Genomic DNA, 19,821 nt, shown 5'->3' with positions numbered 1-19,821 from the left:
GTTTGTATGGTTTTTCTTCACCCTAGAAAATTTTACGCTTGGTCCATATGAAAAATTCCCCTTTAGACTAGAGTTTATCTTTGAAATTTCCTCCCAGTTCTCCTTTGCAAAGTTAGGTGGGTTTTTTCTCTGTGTTCCCATGTTATGTAATTCTGCAGTTGTACTTACATTATGTTTGAATTATTTATTCTTGACAGTAGCCCTCTGGCACATAGTGGACACTCAGTATCTAGTTTAAGACATCCAGCATCAACCATTGAACCTCTACTATATCATTAGCTCTCTGCTGGGTACTGCAAATATAGAAGTGAATAATACGTGTTTATTGCCTGTAAGAAGCCTACTGTAATAGGCAAGACAGACCTTTAAACAAAAAATATTTAAAATGAGGAATAGAAAGTTTTAAAATACTGTGTTTATATTTATATAGACATGAGAGAATATATATAGTCTCGTGAAAGAAGGAATGTATTCTAAGGAGAGAAGTTGTTTTAAGAAAGATATTTAATAGGAAAAGTGATATACTTTTTGTGCTAAGTAGTATGAATAGTGCTATTCATGCTAAACAGTATGATTAGTAATAATTAGGACTTCTTTAGGTGAGTATACCTGACTAATCATTAGTTAGGCTAGCCCACTAAATTTATTAGAATGTGTTGGTTGCAACATTTACGTTTTCAAATGTATTATAGATAATATGTGTGTTGGCATCCATGCAGGTACAGGTAAATAAGCAGACCCCACAAAGAGCAGGAATTATAATACTGTAGATACACTCTAGCATTAACATGGCTCTCTGGTTTTCAGTATGTGCTTTGTGCTGCTTTGTAATATATTGGCAAAGGTATTTTAGTACTTCCATTTGAAAGCAAAAGTGAGCAAATATGGTTAGTTCAGTCTTTGTTTTCTTATTAGGTGACATTATTGCCTATTGACCAGCCCATGAATTGGCTATCCCTAGTTGGATGTACATTCATGACGCAAACATGTGTGTAAGAGAATGACACCCTTAGAAGGGATGGCAGTGTGTTAGATACCATATATAATGTAATTATATTGGATACTCAGGAGCCCAGTGGGTGGGAAATAAAGGGCAAAGTGGAAATACAAGAGCTACTACATTTGCCAACCAGAATTATATATAAAACTGTAACAAGAGCAGCAATTCTCAATAGTTTGGGTGAAAAAAAATCTGTATTTATTTGCTTCATCAGTTGGGCTGGTAAAAGAATATAATCTAATAACACATTTTTTTCAGACATATTATTTCACAGCCAAACAAATCATTAAGCTTGTTTTTTGTTGTAATATAACTTTATAAGACTACTTACAATCCTCGGATTTTAGTCTGTGATATGTTAGCATGTCATAAAATTATGTGATTTGTCTTGTTTTCTTTTTAATGTACAGGCATCTCCAAATTGCTCTGAGACAGCTTTAATTCATATAGCTGGTATTTTGGCAAGAATTGCATCTGTAGAAGAAGGGCTTATTTTACTCCTTTATGGAGCAAATATGAACTCTTCTGAAGAAAGGTATGTGCTATTTTAAATCCGGATAATTATTCCAGGTATAGTTTGGTTTTCTGACAAGCTGCTAATAATATATTAAATGATCTAAAAAAGCTGGAGTAACCAGGATTATGGACTATGCAGCCAGAGTAGAACTTGACGTCTGTAATTTCAAAATAAGAATAGGAGAGTTCACTCTCGATGGGTTTCCTTACTCCCCCATTATCTGCTCCCTTGTATTTTCACTTACAGACTTTTGTCACACATGATTAAGTCAAACCAAAGTTGTGCAAAGAAGCTAGCTATTTTTTCTTCCTCCTCTAGTTCCTATTTTCTCACTTAACCAATGGTAATATTTTTGTGTTTACACTTCTAGACTTTCTCTGTGCTTATAATCAGACAAACCTACATATAAACAGTCATATTTTATCTTCTCTTTACAAAAATGGTATTATATTTTATACATTACCCTGCAGCTTGATTTATTTTATAACTATGGGAATTTTCTTAGGTGAATACAGAATGAAACATGATTTTTAATGTCTGCATTACACTTTTGTGTATAGCTGTACCACAATTTATTCAAACATTTCCCTCTTAGTGAACATCAGATTGTGTCTAGGAATTTTCTCTCCATAAATAACACTGCAATAAATGCTCTTTTTCTTATTTAGCTTGTTGATATTACATTAATTGATGTTCAAATGTTGAGCCAGTTTTACATACCTGAAATAAATCCCACTTGTTCATGATATATAAATCATTCTTACACTTTGTTGGCTTTCATTTGCTAATATTTATTGAGGATTTTTGCCTCTATGTTCATGAGATATATCAGTCTGTAGAATATGTAATCTTTGGCTGGTTTTGGTATTATTGGAATGGTGACCTTATAATAAATGAGAAGTTATTCTTTCTATCTTCTGGAGGATATGACACAGAATTGGTTTAATTTCTTCATAAAATATTTTATAAAATTCACCAGCAAACCAATTTTAGCCTGGTGTTTTCTATTTTGGAAGGTTATTAGTTATTCATTCAATTTATTTAATAAACAGAGGCCTATTCAGATTGCCTACTTGCTCTTATGTGAATGTTGGCAAAATATGTCTTTCAAGGAATTGGTGAATTTATCTAAATTATCAAATCTGTGGGCACAGAATTGTTCATAATATTTCCTTATCCTGTTAATATCATTGAAATGAGTAGTGATGGCTCCTCTTTCACTTCTGATGTTAGTAATTTGTGTCTTCTCTTTTTTTTTTTCTTAGTTAACCTGACTAGAGGCTTATAAATTTTACTGTTCTTTTCAAAAAACTAACTTCTGGTTTTGTTGATTTTTCTCTATTGATTTCATGTTTTTAATTTTATTGATTTCTCTTCTAATTTTTTATTTCTTCTTACTTTGGATTTAATTTTCTCTTCCTAGTTTTCTATGGTGGAAGCTTACATGATTCGTTTTAGCTCTTTTCTTTTTTTATAATATTTGTGCTTTTATATTTGTACTTAATGCTATAAATTTCCCTCTAAACCACATCTTTCCTACATCTCATAGTTTTGATAAGTTGTATCTTCATTTTTCATTTAGTTCAAAATATTTTTATTTTCTCTTGAGATTTCTTTGACCCTTGTGGTTTTTTTTTTTTTTTTTTTTTTTGAGATGGAGTCTTTCTCTGTCGCCCAGGCTGGAGTACAATAGCACAATCTTGGCTCACTGCAAACTCCACCTTCTGGGTTCAAGCGATTCTAGTGCCTCAACCTCCCAAGTAGCTGGGACTACAGGTGCATGCCACCATGCCTGGCTAATTTTTGTATTTTTGTTAGAGATGGGCTTTCACCATGCTGGCCAGGCTGGTCTGGAACTCCTGACCTCAAGTGATTCACCTGCCTTGGCCCCCAAAGTACTGGGATTATAGGCATGAGCCACTGCTCCCAACCCTTGTGTTTTTACAGATCTGACAGCACACTTTATATAATTTCTAGTTTTCAAAGTGTATTTTATGTTTTATGGCCCAGAAAGTGACATCTTAGTGAATTATCTCTGTAAGCTTATATAATATATATTCTACTATTGTTGGATGTCAATTATATTCAGCTGATTGATGGTACTGTTTGGTTCAACTTTGTCCTTACTGACATCCTGCTGAATCTGTCAATTACTGATAGAGGTATGTTGAAAGCTCCAGCTATATTAGTGAATTCATCTATTTCTCCCTGCAGTTCTATCAGTTTTTCATTTAAGTATTTTGATGCTTTGTTGTTAGGTGCATACACATTAAGGATTGTTATGTCTTCTTGGAAAATTGACCCCTTTATTGTTATTTAATGTTCCTTTTTACCCTTGATAATTTTCCTTGCTTTGCAGTCTGCTTTGTCTGAAACTAATACAGCTACTCCAGCTTTCTTTTGATTATAGTTAGCATGGTATGTCTTTCCTCCATCCTTTTCCTTTTAATTTATCTTCGTCTTTATGTTTAAAGTGTAAAGTGGGATTTTTATAGACAACATGTAGTTGGGTCTTGACTTTTAATCTACTTTGATAGTCTTTTATTGATGTATTTATGACATTAACAATTAATTATTGATATAATTAGGTTAATATTTACTGTATTTTTTGCCCTTTTTTTGTGTTCTACTCTTTTTGCCTTATCTGGCTTTGATTGAGCGTTCTATGTGATTTCATTTTATCTCCTCTCTTAGTATATCAATTATACTTTTTTGTCACTCTTTTTAATGGTTGCTATTAAGTTTGTAATATACATTTACAACAGAATTAGTTGTAATTGCTAATTATATTGTTTTAGTTGTATTTAGTCCTCTTTCAAATAACACTGTATCACTTAACATCTAGCGCAATGACCTTATAAGAAGTCATTTCCTCCCTTCTGTCCCTTATATCGTTTCTGTTACTCATTTACTTTTTCATAAACTATAATCACCAAATACTTTTTTGCAATAATTACTTTGAATAAACTTGTCCGTTAGATGTTTTTTTGTTATTGTCGTTTGTTTTTTTTTTTTTTTTGAGACAAGGTCTCACTCTGTTGCCCAGGCTGGAGTGCTGTGGCGTGAACTCGGCTCACTGCAATGTCTGCCTCCCAGGCTCAAGTGATTCTCGTGCTTCAGTCTCCCAAGTAGCTGGGACCTATAGGTGTGCACCACCTTGCCCGGTTAATTTTTTTAGCAGAGACACGGTTTCACCACGTTTCCCAGACTGGTCTTGAACTCCTGAGCTCAAGCGATCTGCCTGCCTTGGCTTCCCCAAGTGCTGGGATTACAGGTGTCAGCCACCTCACCCAGCCTCATTAGATTAATTAATAAGAAAAATAAAGATTTTATGGGTTATCAAATGCTTTATATTGCTAGTCTTTTTAATTTTAGTAAGATAGTCCTGAAAGTGATATTGCTGGGTCAGAGGGCCTGTACATTTTATATCTTGTAGATCCTGCCAGATTACTTTTCAAAATAGTTGAATTTTACCTTCTTGCCAGCAGTCTATGGGAAGTACGAGGTATCCCCTCCTTTTTATATTCTTGTCAGGACTGCATAATCAGTTTGTAAATGTTTTGGCAACCTAATGAATGAAAGATCTTGTTTTGATTTATATTTACTTATTTGATTCATATTTCATGTGTCATCTCACTGAGTTTGAGCATCTCATTGCTCCTGTGGCAATAGGGTTATTGGCTATTTCCATTTCCTTGATAGTAATGTTCCTTTCCATATCATTTGTCCATTTAAAACTTGATTTATTGTTCATTGAGTTATGTATGCATACAGGAAACATAAAGGTTTATTATAAAAAGTAGCAGTTCCTTTCTTGCTCTCTAGAGACAACTACTTTCAGCTATTTTTGATGTTTTCTTTAGTGTTTATATTATCAAGTAATGTGCATATAATTTCTTTTAGCTTAAGGCTAAATTGTCAATTGTTCATTGACTTACATTACAACAATTTATCTCTCTTGCCTGCTTTCCCCACCAAACATACAAATACATATAGGTACCTAGTTCCTTCATTCTCCATCGGTGCAATACTGTTGTGCAATCGACTTATTTAATGTTTTACTGTATTCACATTGTGAACACTTTTCACAGCTGAGCCATGTGGTATTCTTTTGTTACTTTTCTATTCTTTCACAATTTTTGCCTTCTCTGGAGTTAATCTTTTTTTTTGTTTGTTGCTACAATTTTCAATGTACTTAGCTGTCACTGCAGTGCTAAGCCATCTACATGTTTTTTTCTAATTGACTAAATCCTCTCTCAGCATGTTAAAATACCAAAGTCCAGGAGTTTAATTAAAGACATCTGTTTTTGAGCCTTCCCACCTACTTTATTCAGAATGGGTTTCTGCCTCAGTTTTGTGCATAACTTTTACGCTGAAATGTATTTTGTCATCATTATGGAGTAGCCTTATTTTTCATTTTCCTTTTTCTAGAAGTCTTTTTTGTCTTTTTTTGGTGTTTAATTATCCAAAATGTTATGATGTTTCTTGATGAAGTTCTACTTTTATGTACTTGATGAGTGTCTTTTTAAATTGACACATAATAATTGTACATGTATTGATGGACATTGTAAATTTGAAGATTCATGCCTTTTAGGGAAAATAGTTGGATTTCTTCTTTTTTTTTTTCTGAAATTCTATTATTTGAACTTGGACATTCTTATCTGTTCTATTTTCTATTCCTTTTAAAATCTTTTTTTCTGGGAATTTTTTTCTGCTTTCATTTTCTAGCCTTTCTGTTGAAATTGAATTTTTCATTTAAGTTGTGTGGGTTTTTTTTTTGTTGTTGTTTGTTTGTTTGTTTTTGAGACAGAGTCTCATGACTCTGTCGCCCAGGCTGGAGTGCAGTCGCATGATCTTGGCTCACTGCAACCTCCGCCTCCTGGGTTCAAGCAATTCTTTTGCCTCAGCCTCCCGAGTAGCTGGGACTATAGGTGTGTGCCACCACGCCTGGCTCATTTTTGTATTTTTAGTAGAGATGGGGTTTCACTATATTGGCCAGGCTGGTCTCCACCTCCCGACCTCATGATCTGCCCGCCTTGGCCTACTAAAGTGCTGGGATTACAGGCATGAGCCACCATGCCCGGCTTTTTTGTTTTGTTTTGTTTTGTTTTAATTTAACAGAGTTTAATTGAGCAAAGAACACTTTGTGAATCAAGCAGCCTCCTCAACCAGAGTAGGCTCAGAGAAACTCCAGCACAGCCACATGGTGGAAGAAGATTTATGAACAGAAACAGGAAAATGATGCACAGAAAATGGAAGTGAGGTACAGAAACAGTCATTTTGGTTACAGCTTGCCGTTTTGCATTATTTGAACACAGTTTGAACAGTTGGCCCCCTTTAATTGGCCAGTGGTGATTGGCACAAGAGTAGGTTACAGTCTGTTTATACTTCCATCAAGGTTATAGTTCACTATGTACAGAGAAACATTTAGGCTGAACTTAAAATGCATAAGCAGACAGTTTTAGGCCAAACTTGATTCAACAGCTTTTTTTTTTTTTTTAAATTATACTTTAAGTTCTAGGGTACATGTGCACAATGTGCAGGTTTTTTACATATGTATATGTGTGTCATGTTGGTGTGCTGCACCCATTAACTCGTCATTTACATTAGGTATATCTCTTAATGCTATCCCTAACCCCCCCAACCCCACGACAGGCCCCGGTGTGTGATGTTCCCCACCCTGTGTCCAAGTGTTCTCATTGTTCAGTTCTCACCTATGAGTGAGAACATGCAGTGTTTGGTTTTCTGTCCCTGTGATAGTTTGCTGAGAATGATGGTTTCCAGCTTCATCCATGTCCCTACAAAGGACATGACCTCATACTTTTTTATGGCTGCATAGTATTCCATGGTGTATATGTGCCACATTTTCTTTTCTTTTTAATTATACTTTAAGTTCTAGGGTACATGTGCAGAACGTGCAAGTTTGTTACATATGTATACGTGTGCTATGTTGGTGTGCTGCACCCATTAACTTGTCATTTACATTAGGTATATCTCCTAAAACTATCCCTCCCCTAGCACCCCACCCCACAACAAGCCCTGGTGTGTGATGTTCCCCACCCTGTGTCCAAGAGTTCTCATTGTTCAATTCCCACCTATGAGTGAGAACATGCAGTGTTTGGTTTTTTCTCCTTGTGATAGTTTGCTCAGAATGATGGTTTCCAGTTTCATCCATGTTCCTACAAAGGACATGAACTCATCCGTTTTTATGGCTGCGTAGTATTCCATGGTGTATATGTGCCACATTTTCTTCATCCAGTCTATCATTGATGGACATTTGGGTTGGTTCCAAGTCTTTGCTATTGTGAATAGTACTGCAGTAAACATACGTGTGCATGTGTCTTTACAGCAGCATGATTTATAATCCTTTGGGTATATACCCAGTAAGGGGATGGCCGGGTCAAATGGTATTTCTAGTTCTAGATCCTTGATGAATTGCCACACTGTCTTCCACAATGGTTGAACTAGTTTACAGTCCCACCAACAGTGTAAAAGTGTTCCTATTTCTCCACATCCTCTCCAGCACCTGTTGTTTCCTGACTTTTTAATGATCGCCATTCTAACTGGTGTGAGATGGTATCTCATTGTGGTTTTGATTTGCATTTCTCTGATGGCCGGTGATGATGAGCATTTTTTCATGTGTCTGTGGGCTGCATAAATGTCTTCTTTTGATAAGTGTCTATTCATATCCTTTGCCCTCTTTTTGATGGGGTTGTTTGTTTTTTTTCTTGTAAATTTGTTTGAGTTCTTTGTAGATTCTGGATATTAGCCCTTTGTCAGATGGATAGATTGTAAAAAGTTTCTCCCTTTCTGTAGGTTGCCTGTTCACTCTGATGGTAGTTTCTTTTGCTGTGCAGAAGCTCCTTAGTTTAGTTAGATCCCATTTGTCAATTTTGGCTTTTGTTGCCATTGCTTTTGGTGTTTTAGTCATGAAGTCCTTGCCCATGTCTATGTCCTGAATGGTAATGCCTAGGTTTTCTTCTAGGGTTTTTATGGTTTTAGGTCTAACATTTAAGTCTTTAATCCATCTTGAATTAATTTTTGTATAAGGTGTGAGGAAGGGATCCAGTTTCAGCTTTCTATATATGGCTAGCCAGTTTTCCCAGCACCATTTATTAAATAGGGAATCGTTTCCCCATTTCTTGTTTTTGTCAGGTTTCTCAAAGATCAAATGGTTGTAGATGTGTGGTATTATTTCTGAGGGCTCTGTTCTGTTCCATGGGTCTATATCTCTGTTTTGGTACCAGTACCATGCTGTTTTGGTTACTGTAGCCTTGTAGTACAGTTTGAAGTCAGGTGGCATGGTGCCTCCAGCTTTTGTCTTAGGATTGTCTTGGCAATGCAGGCTCTTTTTTGATTCCATATGAACTTTAAAGTAGTTTTATCCAATTCTGTGAAGAAAGTCATTGGTAGCTTGATGGGGATGGCATTGAATATATAAATTACCTTGGGCAGTATGGCCATTTTCATGATATTGATTCTTCCTATCCATGACCATGGAATGTTCTTCCATTTGTTTGTGTCCTCTTTTATTTCATTGAGCAGTGGTTTGTAGTTCTCCTTGAAGAGATCCTTCACATCCCTTGTAAGTTGGATTCCTAGGTATTTTATTCTCTTTGAAGCAATTGTGAATGGGAGTTCACTCAGGATGTGGCTCTCTGTTTGTCTGTTATTGGTGTATAGGAATGCCTGTGATTTTTACACGTTGATTTTGTATCCTGAGACTTTGCTGAAGTTGCTTATCAGCTTAAGGAGATTTTGGGCCAAGACGATTGGGTTTTCTAAATATACAATCATGTCATCTGCAAACAGGGACAATTTGACTTCCTCTTTTCCTAATTGAATACCCTTTATTTCTTTCTCCTGCCTGATTGCCCTGGCCAGAACTTCCAAAACTCTGTTGAATAGGAGTGGTGAAAGAGGGCATCCCTGTCTTGTGCCAGTTTTCAAAGGGAATGCTTCCAGTTTTTGCCCATTCAATATGATATTGGCTGTGGGTTTGTCATAAATAGCTCTTATTATTTTGAGATACGTCCCATCTATACCTAGTTTATTGAGAGTTTTTAGCATGAAGGGCTGTTGAATTTTTATTGAAGGCCTTTTCTGCATCTATTGAGATAATCATGTGGTTTTTGTCTTTGGTTCTGTTTATATGAGGGATTACCTTTATTGATTTGCATATGTTGAACCAGCCTTGCATCCCAGGGATGAAGTCAACTTGTTTGTGGTGGATAAGCTTTTTGATGTGCTGCTGGATTCGGTTTGCCAGTATTTTATTGAGGATTTTTGCATCGATGTTCATCAGGAATATTGGTCTAAAATTCCCTGTTTTTGTTGTGTTTCTGCCAGGCTTTAGTATCAGGATGATGCTGGCCTCATAAAATGAGTTAGAGAGGATTCCCTCTTTTTCTATTGATTGGAATAGTTTCAGAAGTAATGGTACCAGCTCCTCTTTGTACTTCTGGTAGATTTTGGCTGTGAATCCGTCTGGTCCTGGACTTTTTTTGGTTGGTAGGCTATTAATTATTGCCTCAAGTTCAGAGCCTGATATTGGTCTATTCAGGGATTCAGCTTCTTCTTGGTTTAGTCTTGGGAGGGTGTATGTGTCCATGAATTTATCCATTTCTTCTAGATTTTCTAGTTTATTTGCGTAGAGGTGTTTATAGTATTCTCTGATGGTAGTTTGTATTTCTGTGGGATTGGTGGTGATATACCCTTTATCATTTTTTATTACATCTATTTGATTCTTCTCTCTTTTCTTTTAGTCTGGCTATCAGTTTATCAATTTTGTTGATCTTTTCAAAAAACCAGCTCCTGGATTCATTGATTTTTTTTGAAGGGTTTTTTTGTGTCTCTATCTCCTTCAGTTCTGCTCTGATCTTAGTTATTTTTTGCCTTCTGCTAACTTTTGAATATGTTTGCTCTTGCTTCTCTAGTTCTTTTAATTGTGATGTTAGGGTGTCAATTTTAAATCTTTCCTGCTTTCTCTTGTGGGCATTTAGTGCTATAAATTTCCCTCTGCATACTGCTTTGAATGTGTCCCAGAGATTCTGGTATGTTGTGTCTTTGTTCTCGTTGGTTTCAAAGAACATCTTTATTTCTGCCTTCATTTCATTATGTACCCAGTAGTCATTCAGGAGCAGGTTGTTCAGTTTCCATGTAGTTGAGCAGTTTTGAGTGAGTTTCTTAATCCTGAGTTCTAGTTTGATTGCACTGTGGTCTGAGAGACAGTTTGTTATAATTTCTGTTCTTTTACATTTCCTGAGGAGTGCTTTACTTCCAACTATGTGGTCAATTTTGGAATAAGTGCAATGTGGTGCTGAGAAGAATGTATATTCTGTTGATTTGGGGTGGAGAGTTCTGTAGATGTCTATTAGGTCTACTTGGTGCAGAGCTGAGTTCAATTCCTGGATATCCTTGTTAACTTTCTATCTCTTTGATCTGTCTAATGTTGACAGTGGGGTGTTAAAGTCTCCCATTATTATTGTGTGGGAGTGTAAGTCTCTTTGTAGGTCACTAAGGACTTGCTTTATGAATCTGGGTGCTCCTGTATTGGGTACATATATGTTTCGGATAGTTAGCTCTTCCTGTTGAATTGATCCCTTTACCATTATGTAATGTCCTTCTTTGTCTCTTCTGATCTTTGTTGGTTTAAAGTCTGTTTTATCAGAGACTAGGATTGCAACCCCTGCTTTTTTTTGTTTTCCATTTGCTTGGTAGATCTTCCTCCATCCCTTTATTTTCAGCCTATGTGTGTCTCTCTCATGATATGGGTCTCCTGAATATAGCACACTGATGGGTCTTGACTCTTTATCCAATTTGCCAGTCTATGTCTTTTAATTGGAGCATTTAGCCCATTTTCATTTAAGGTTAATATTGTTATATGTGAATTTGATCCTGTCATTATGATGTTAGCTGGTTATTTTGCTTGTTAGTTGATGCAGTTTCTTCCGAGCCTCGATGGTCTGTACAAGTTGGCATGTTTTTGCAGTGGCTGGTACCAGTTGTTCCATTCCATGTTTAGTGCTTCCTTCAGCAGCTCTTGTAAGGCAGGCCTGGTGGTGACAAAATCTCTCAGCATTTGTTTGTCTGCAAAGGATTTGATTTCTCCTTCACTTTTGAAGCTTAGTTTGGCTGGACATGAAATTCTGGGTTGAAAATTCTTTTCTTCAAGAAGGTTGAATATTGGCTGCTACTCTCTTCTGGCTTGCAGAGTGTCTGCCGAGAGATCCGCTGTTAGTCTGATGGGCTTCTCTTTGTGAATAACCCGACCTTTATCTCTGGCTGCCCTTAACATTTTTTTCCTTCATTTGAACTTTGGTGAATCTGACAATTATGTGTCTTGCAGTTGCTCTTCTTGAGGAGTATCTTTGTGGTGTTCTCTGTACTTCCTGAATTTGAATGTTGGCCTGCCTTGCTAGGTTGGGGAAGTTCTCCTGGATAATATCCTGAAGAACGTTTTCCAACTTGGTTTCATTCTCCCCGTCACTTTCAGGTACATCAGTCAGACGTAGATTTGGTCTTTTCACGTAGTCCCATATTTCTTGGAGGCTTTGTTCATTTCTTTTTAGTCCTTTTCTCTAAACTTCTCTTCTTGCGTAATTTCATGCATTTGATCTTCATTCACTGTTACCCTTTCTTCCAGTTGATCGAACTGGCTACTGAAGCTTTTGCATGCGTCACGTAGTTCTCATGCCATGGTTTTCAGTTCCATCAGGTCATTTAAGATCTTCTCTGTGCTGTTTATTCTAGTTAGCCATTCATCTAATCTTTTCTGAAGATTTTTAGCTTGTTTGCAATGGGTTTGAACATCCTCCTTTAGCTTGGAGCAGTTTGTTATTACCGATCATCTGAAGCCTTCTTCTCTCAACTCATCAATGTCATTCTCCATTCAGCTTTGTTCTGTTGCTGGCGAGGAGCTGCATTCCTTTGGAGGAGAAGAAGTGCTCTGATTTTTAGAATTTTCGCTTTTCTGCTCTGGTTTCTCCCCATCTTTGTGATTTTATCTACCTTTTTTCTTTTATGATGGTGACGTACAGATGGGGTTTTGGTGTGGATATTCTTTCTGTTTGTTAGTTTTCCTTCTAACAGTAGGACCCTCCGGTGCAGGTCTGTTGGAGTTTGCTGGAGGTCCACTCCAGACGCTGTTTGCCTGGGTATCACCAGTGGAGGCTGCAGAACAGCAAATATTGCAGAATGGCAAATGTTGCTGCCTGATCGTTCCACTGGAAGCTTCATCTCAGGAGGGCACCCGGTTATATGAGGTGTCCATTGGCCCCTACTGAGAGTTGTCTGCCAGTTAGGCTACTTGGGAGACAGGGACCCACTTGAGGAGGGAGGGACCCACTTGAGGAGGAGGAGAGAGGGAGAACCACTACTCTCTTCAAAGCTGTCAGACAGGGACATTTAAGTCTGCAGAAGTTTCTGCTGCCTTTTGTTCAGCTATGCCCTGTCCCCAGAGGTGGCATCTACAGAGGCAGGCAGGCCTCCTTGAGCTACGGTGGGCTCCAGTTCAAGCTTTCCAGCCACTTTGTTTATCTACTGAAGCCTCAGCAATGGCAGATGCCCCTCCCCCAGCCTTGCTGTCACCTTGCAGTTTGATCTCAGACTGCTGTGCTAGCCGTGAGGGAGGCTCTGTGGGCTTGGGACCCTCCAAGCCAGGTGCAGGATATAATCTCCTGGTGTGCTGTTGCTAAGACCGTTGGAAAAGTGCAGTATTTGGGTGGGAGTGTCCCAATTTTCCAGGTACCGTCTGTCATAGCTTCCCTTGGCTAGGAAAGGGAATTCCCTGACCCCTTGGGCTTCGCTTTCAAGGCGATGCCCCGCCCTGCTTCGGTTCACACTCCATGGGCTGCACCCAGTGTACGACAAGCCCCAGTGAGATGAATCTGGTACCTTAGTTGGAAATGCAGAAATCACCCATCTTCTGCGTCGCTCACGCTGGGAGTTGTAGACTGGAGCTGTTCCTATTCAGCCATCTTGGAACCTCCCCCCGACCTTTTTTTTTTTTTAGAAGAGCACATTGTTATTTTAGTGTCCTATTCTTTTTTTTTTTTTTTTAATTTTACTTTTAAGTTCCAGGATACATGTGCAGAACATGCATGTTTGTTACATAGGTAAATGTGTGCCATGATGGTTTGCTGCACATATCAACCTCACTTAGGTATTAAGCCCTGCATGCATTATCTATTTGTCCTGACACTCTCCCTCCCCTTGCCCCTTCCCCACCGACAGGCCCTGGTGTGTGTTGTTCTCCTCTCTGTGTCCATGTGTTCTCATTTTTCATCTCCCACTTATGAGTGAGAACATGTGGTATTTGGTTTTTTGTTTCCGTGTTAGTTTGCTGAGGATGATGGTTTCCAGCTTCATCCATCTGCCTGCAAAGGACATGAGCTCATTCATTTTTATGGCTGCATAGTATTCCATGGTGTATGTGTGCCACATTTTCTTATCCAGTCTATAATTAATAGGCGTTTGGGTTGGTTCCACATCTTTGCTATTGTGAATAGTGCTGCAGTAAACATACATGTCCATGTATCTTTATAATAGAATGATTTATATTCCTTTGGGTATATACCCAGTAGTGGGATTGCTGACTCAAATGATATTTCTGCGTCTAGATCCTTGAGGAATTGCCACACTGTCAGAAGTGGTTGAACTAATTTACATTCCCACCAACAGTGTAAAAGCATTCCTATTTCTCCACATCCACTCTAGCATCTGTTGTTCCTTGACTTTTTAATAATTGCCATTCTAACTGGCATGAGATGGTATCTCATTGTGGTTTTGATTTGCATTTCTCTAATGATCACTAATATTGAGCTTTTTTTCATAGGTTTGTTGGCTGCATAAATGTCTTCTTTTGAGAAGTGTCCATTCATGTCTACTTTTTGATGGGGTTGCTTATTTTTTTCTTGTAAATTTGTTTAAGTTCCTTGTAAATTCTGGGTATTATATGTTGTCAGATGGTACATTGCAAAAATTTTCTCCCATTCTGCAGGTTGCCTGTTCATGCTGATAATAGTTTCTTTTGCTTTGCAGAAGCTCTTTAGTTTAATTAGATCTTATTTATCAGTTTTAGCTTTTGTTGCAATTGCTTTTTGCGATTTCATCATAAAATCTTTGCTCATGCCCATGTCCTGAATGGTATTGTCTAGGTTTTCTTCTGTGGTTTTATGGTTTTGAGTTTTGCATTCAAGTCTTTAATCCATTTTGAGTTAATTTTTATATAAGGTGTAAGGAAGGCTTCCATTTTCAGTTTTCTGCATATGATTAGCCAGTTTTCCCACCACCATTTATTAGATAGGGATTCCTTTCTTCATTGCTTGTTTTTGTTAGGTTTGTCAAAGATCAAATGGTTGTAGATGTGGTCTTATTTCTGAGGCCTCTATTCTTTTCCATTGGTCTATATGTCTGTTTTTGTACCAGTACTATGCAGTTTTGGTTACTGTAGTCTTTTAGTATAGTTGAAGTCACGTAGCATGATGCCTCCAGATTTGTTCTTTTTGTTTAGGATTGACTTGGCTATATGGGCTCTTTTTTTTTTCTTTTTTGGTTCCATATGAATTTTTTTTAAGTAGTTTTTTTTCTAATTCTGTGAAGAATGTCAATGGTAGTTTGATGGGAATAGCATTGAATCTATGATTTACTTTGGGCAGTATGGCCATTTTCACAATGTTGATTCTTGCTATCCATGAGGATAGAATGTTTTTCCATTTGTTTATGTCCTCTCTTATTGCCTTGAGCAGTGGCTTATAGTTCACTTTGAAGAGTTCCTTCACGTCCCTTGTTAGCTGTATTCCTAGGTATTTTATTCTTTTTGTAGCAATTGTGAATGGGAGTTCATTCATGATTTGGCTCTCTGTCTGTTGTTGATGTATAGTAATGGTTCTGATTTTTGCACATTGATTTTATATACTGGGACTTTGCTAAAGTTGCTTGTCAGCTTAAGGAGCTTTTGGGCTGACACGATGGGGTTTTCTAAATATAGGATCATGTCATCTGCAAACAGAGACAATTTGACTTCCTCTCTTCCTATTTGAATACCCTTTATTTGTTTCTATTGCCTGATTGCCTTGGCCAGAACTTCCAATACTATGTTTAATAGGAGTGGTGAGAGAGGGCATCCTTGTCTTTTGCTGGTTTTGAAAGGGAGTGCTTCTAGCTTTTGTCCATTCAGTATAATATTGTCTGTAAGTTTGTCATAAATAGCTCTTATTATTTTGAGATATGTTCCATCAATACCTAGTTTATTGAGAGTTTTTAGCATGAAGGGATGTTGAATTTTATCGAAGGTCTTTTCTGCATCTATTGAGGTAATCATGATTTTTGTCATTGGTTCTGTTTACGTGATGAATTATGTTTATTGATTTGTGTATGTTGAACCAGCCTTGCATCCCAGGGATGAAGCCAGCTTGATCATGGTGGATAAGCTTTTTGATGTGCTGCTGGATTTGGTTTGTGAGTATTTTGTTGAGGATTTTCACACTGATGTTCATTAGGGATATTGGCCTGAAGTTTTCTTTTTTTGTTGTGTCTCTGCCAGGCTTTGGTATCAGGATGATGGTGGCCTCATAAAATGAGTTAGGAAGGAATCCCTTCCTTTTAATTGTTAGGAATAGTTTCAGCAGGAATGGTACCAGCTCCTCTTGGTACCTGTGGTAGAATTTGGCTGTGAATCCATTTGGTCCTTGGCTTTTTTTAGTTGCTAGGCTATTTATTACTGCCTCAATTTCAGAGCTTGTTATTGGTCTATTCAAGGATTTGACTTCTTCTTGGGAGGGTTTATGTGTCCAGGAATTTAACCATTTCTTCTAGATTTTCTAGTTTATTTACACAGAGATGTTTGTAGTATTCTCTGATGGTAGTTTGACTCTGTGGGGTTGGTGGTGATATCTCTTTTTTCATTTTTTATTGCATCTATTTGATTCTTCTCTCTTTTCTTCTTTATTAATCTAACTAGTGGTCTATTTTATTTTTTCAAGAAAACAGCTCCTGGATTCATTGATTTTTTCTGAAGGGTTTTCATGTCCGTCTCTCCTTCATTTCTGCTCTGTTCTTAGTTATTTCCTGTCTTCTAGCTTTTGTATTTGTTTGCTCTTGATTCGCTAGTTATTTTAGTTTTGATGTTATGGTGTCGATTTGAGATCTTTCTAGCTTCCTGATGTGGGCATTTAGTGCTATCAATTTCCCTCCTAACACTGCTTTAGCTGCATCCCAGTGATTTTGGTACATTGTCTTTTTGTTTTCATTGGCTTCAAAGAAATTCTTGATTTCTGCCTTACTTTCATTATTTACCTAGGAGTCATTCAGGAGCAGGTTGTTCAATTTTGATGTATTTGTGTGGTTTTGGGTGAGTTTCTTAATCTTGAGTTTTGCACTGTGGTTTGAGAGACTGTCTATAATGATTTCATTTCTTTTGCATTTGCTGAGGAGTATTTTAATTCCAATTATGTGGTTGATTTTAAAGTAAGTGCCATGTGGCACTGAGAAGAATGTATATTCTGTTGTTTTCGGGTGGAGAGTTCTGTAGATATCTATTAGGTCCTCTTGATCCAGAGCTGAGTTCAAGTCCTGAGTATCCTTGTTAATTTTCTGTCTCGTTAATACCCCACTGTCTCATATTGTCAGTGGGGTATTAAAGTCTCCCACTATTATTGTGTGGTAGTCTAAGCCGCTTTTAGGTCTCTAAAAACTTGTTTTATCAAACTGGGTGCTCCTATATTGGGTGCATGTATATTTCGGATAGTTAGCTCTTCTTGTTGAATTGATCCCTTTACCATTATGTAATGGCCTTCTTTGTCTTTTTTGATCTTTGTTGGTTTAAAGTCTGTTTTGTCAGAAACTGGTGTTGAAACCCCTGCTTTTTTTCTGCTCTCCATTTGCTAGGTAGATTTACCTCTATCTTTTTTTTGTTTTGTTTTTTGAGCCTATGTGTATATTTGCATATGAGATGAGTCTCTTGAATACAGCACACTGATTCGTCTTGACTCTTTATCCAATTTTCCAGTCTGTATCTTTTAATTGAGGCAGTTAGCCCATTTACATTGTAGGTTAATATTGTTATGTGTGAATTTGATCCTGTCATCATGATGCCAGCTGGTTATTTTGCACACTAGTTAATCCAGTTTCTTCATAATGTCATTGGTCTTTGTAGTTTAGTGTGTTTTTTTTCAGTGGCTGGTACTGATTTTTCCTCTCCCTATTTAGTGCTTGCTTCAGGAACTCTTGCAAGGCAGGCCTGGTGGTGATGAACTCCCTTAGCATTTGATTGTCTGTAAAGGATTTTATTTATTTATGAAGCTTCGTTTGGCCAGATATGAAATTCTGAGTTGAAAATTTTTTTCTTTAAGAATGTTCAATGGCTGGGTGCCATAGCTCATGCCTGTAATCCTCGCACTTTGGGAGGTTGAGGCGGGCAGATCACCTGAGGTCAGGAGTTCGAGACCAGCCTGGCCAACATGGCGAAACTCTGTCTGTACTAAAAATAGAAAAATTAGCCAGGTATGGTGGCACATGCCTATAGTCCCAGCTACTCAGGAGGCTGAGGCAGGAGAATTGCTTGAACCTGGGAGGAGGAGGTTGCAGTGGGTCGAGATCATGCCACTGCATTCCAGCCTGGGTGACAGAGCGAGACTCTGTCTCAAAAAAAAAAAAAAAGTATTTAATATTGGCCTCTATTCTCTTCTGGCCTATAGATTTTTTGCTGAGATATCTGCTATTACTCTGATGGGCTTCCCTTTGTAGGTGACCTGGCCTTTCTCTCTGGCTGCCCTTAACATTTTTTCTTTCATTTCAACCTTGGAGAATCTGATGATTATGTGTCTTGTGGTTGATCTTCTCGTGGAGTATCTTAGTGAGGTTCTCTGTATTTCCTGAATTTGAATGTTGGCCTGTCCTGCTAGGTTGGGGAAGTTCTCCTGGATGATATCCTGAAGTGTGTTTTCTAACTTGGTTCCATTCTTCCCGTTTCTTTTAGGTACTCCAATCAGTCATAGGTTCAGTCTTTTTACATAGTCCCATAATTCTTGTAGGTTTTGTACATTACTTCTTACTCTTTTTTCTCTAAGCCTGCCTTATTTCAGCAAGATAGTCTTCAAACACTGGTATTTTTTCTTCCACTTGATTGATTTGGCTATTGATTCTTGTGTATGATTCACAGAGTTTTCGTGTTGTGTTTTTCAACTCCATCAGGTCATTTAAAATGTTCCTCTCTAAGCTGGTTATTCTAGTTAGCAGCTCCTGTAACCTAGTATCATGGTTCTAAGCATCTTTGCATTGGGTTAGAACATGCTCCTTTACCTCATTGAAGTTTGTTATTACCTGCCTTCTGAAGCCCACTTCTGTCAGTTCATCCATCTCATCCTCCGTCCAGTTCTGTGCCCTTGCTGGAGAGGTGTTGTGATCATTTGGAGGAAAAGAGACAATCTGGCCTTTTGGGTTTTCAGCATTTTTTTCATTGATTCTTTCTCATCTTCATGAGTTTGTTCACTTTGGATCTTTGAGGCTGCTGACCCTTGGATGAGGTTTTTTTGAGGATTTTTTTAGTTGATGCTGTTGTTGTAGCTTTCTGTTTGTTTTTCTTTCAATTGTCAGGTCCCTCTTCTGTAGGGCTGCTGTGGTTTGCTGGGGGTTCACTTCAGGCCCTATTCATCTGGTTCGCTTCCACACCTGGAGATGTCACCTGAGGAGGCTGGAGAACAGCAAAGATGGGTGCCTGGCTCTTTCCTCTGGGATCTCTGACCTTGAGGGGCACCAACCTGATGCCAGTAGGAACGCTCCTGTGTAGGGTGTCTGGTGACCCCTTTTGGGGTGTCTCACCCAGTTGGGGGGCATGGGAACCAGGACCCACTTTGACTGCTCCTTGGCAGAGGGTGTGCTGCACTGGGGGGAAACCAACTCTTCCGGTCTGCCCAGATTCCTCAGAGCTAGCAGGAGGAAAGACTAAGTCTGCTGTTCCATAGAGACTGCGGTCACCCCTTCTTCTAGGGGCTCAGGCCAGGGAGATCAGAGTTCTGTCCCTGAGCCACTGGCTGGAGTTGTTGGAGTTCCTGTAGGGAGACCCCACCCAGTGAGGAGGGTTGAGTCAGCATCCGTTCTGAAGAGGCAATCTGGCCAAGATCTGCCACAGCTGGTGTGCTGCGCTGTGGGGAATACCTCTTGGGACCAAGCCGTTCAGCCTCCTGAATTTCCCTGGCTCTAGCAGGGAAAAGCACGGCCTGGAGCTATAGTGATAGCTGCAGTCCTTCGCCCATGGGAGCTTAGTGTCTTAGGTAGCTAGCCGCAGCAGTGTTGGCTCTGCCTC

At 38.3% G+C, this 19,821-nt stretch overlaps 1 protein-coding gene across 25 annotated transcripts in view, besides 1 other annotated feature; it reads left to right on the top strand.

Moving 5' to 3' along the window:
* Nucleotides 1–19,821, top strand: part of TBC1D32 (TBC1 domain family member 32) — a 255,236-nt gene that overhangs the window by 54,074 nt on the left and 181,341 nt on the right. For 24 of the 25 annotated variants that reach the window (NR_104452.2, XR_942346.3, XM_047418311.1 and 21 more), the window contains one exon: nt 1,411–1,535. Coding sequence is in view for 22 of the 25 variants with exons in the window: in XM_047418311.1 (XP_047274267.1) it covers nt 1,411–1,535 (125 nt within the window). In the remaining 3 variants the exon portion in view is untranslated. Of the gene's footprint in view, nt 1–1,410; nt 1,536–19,821 lie in introns of those variants that run through there. The other variant, XM_017010404.1, reaches the window with a different exon arrangement.
* Nucleotides 13,691–13,860: an enhancer, noted in NCBI's record as "experimental_89007 CRE fragment used in MPRA reporter constructs". NCBI's record gives its function as "activates a minimal promoter by MPRAs in K562 erythroleukemia cells, with activity observed for both the introgressed and non-introgressed 6:121588027 variant alleles {active_cell/tissue: K562}" and the evidence as "EXISTENCE:reporter gene assay evidence [ECO:0000049][PMID:34662402]".

Source organism: Homo sapiens, chromosome 6, assembly GCF_000001405.40.
Source record: "Homo sapiens chromosome 6, GRCh38.p14 Primary Assembly".
NCBI lineage: Eukaryota > Metazoa > Chordata > Mammalia > Primates > Hominidae > Homo > Homo sapiens.
This window is presented reverse-complemented; position numbering and strand designations above follow the sequence as displayed.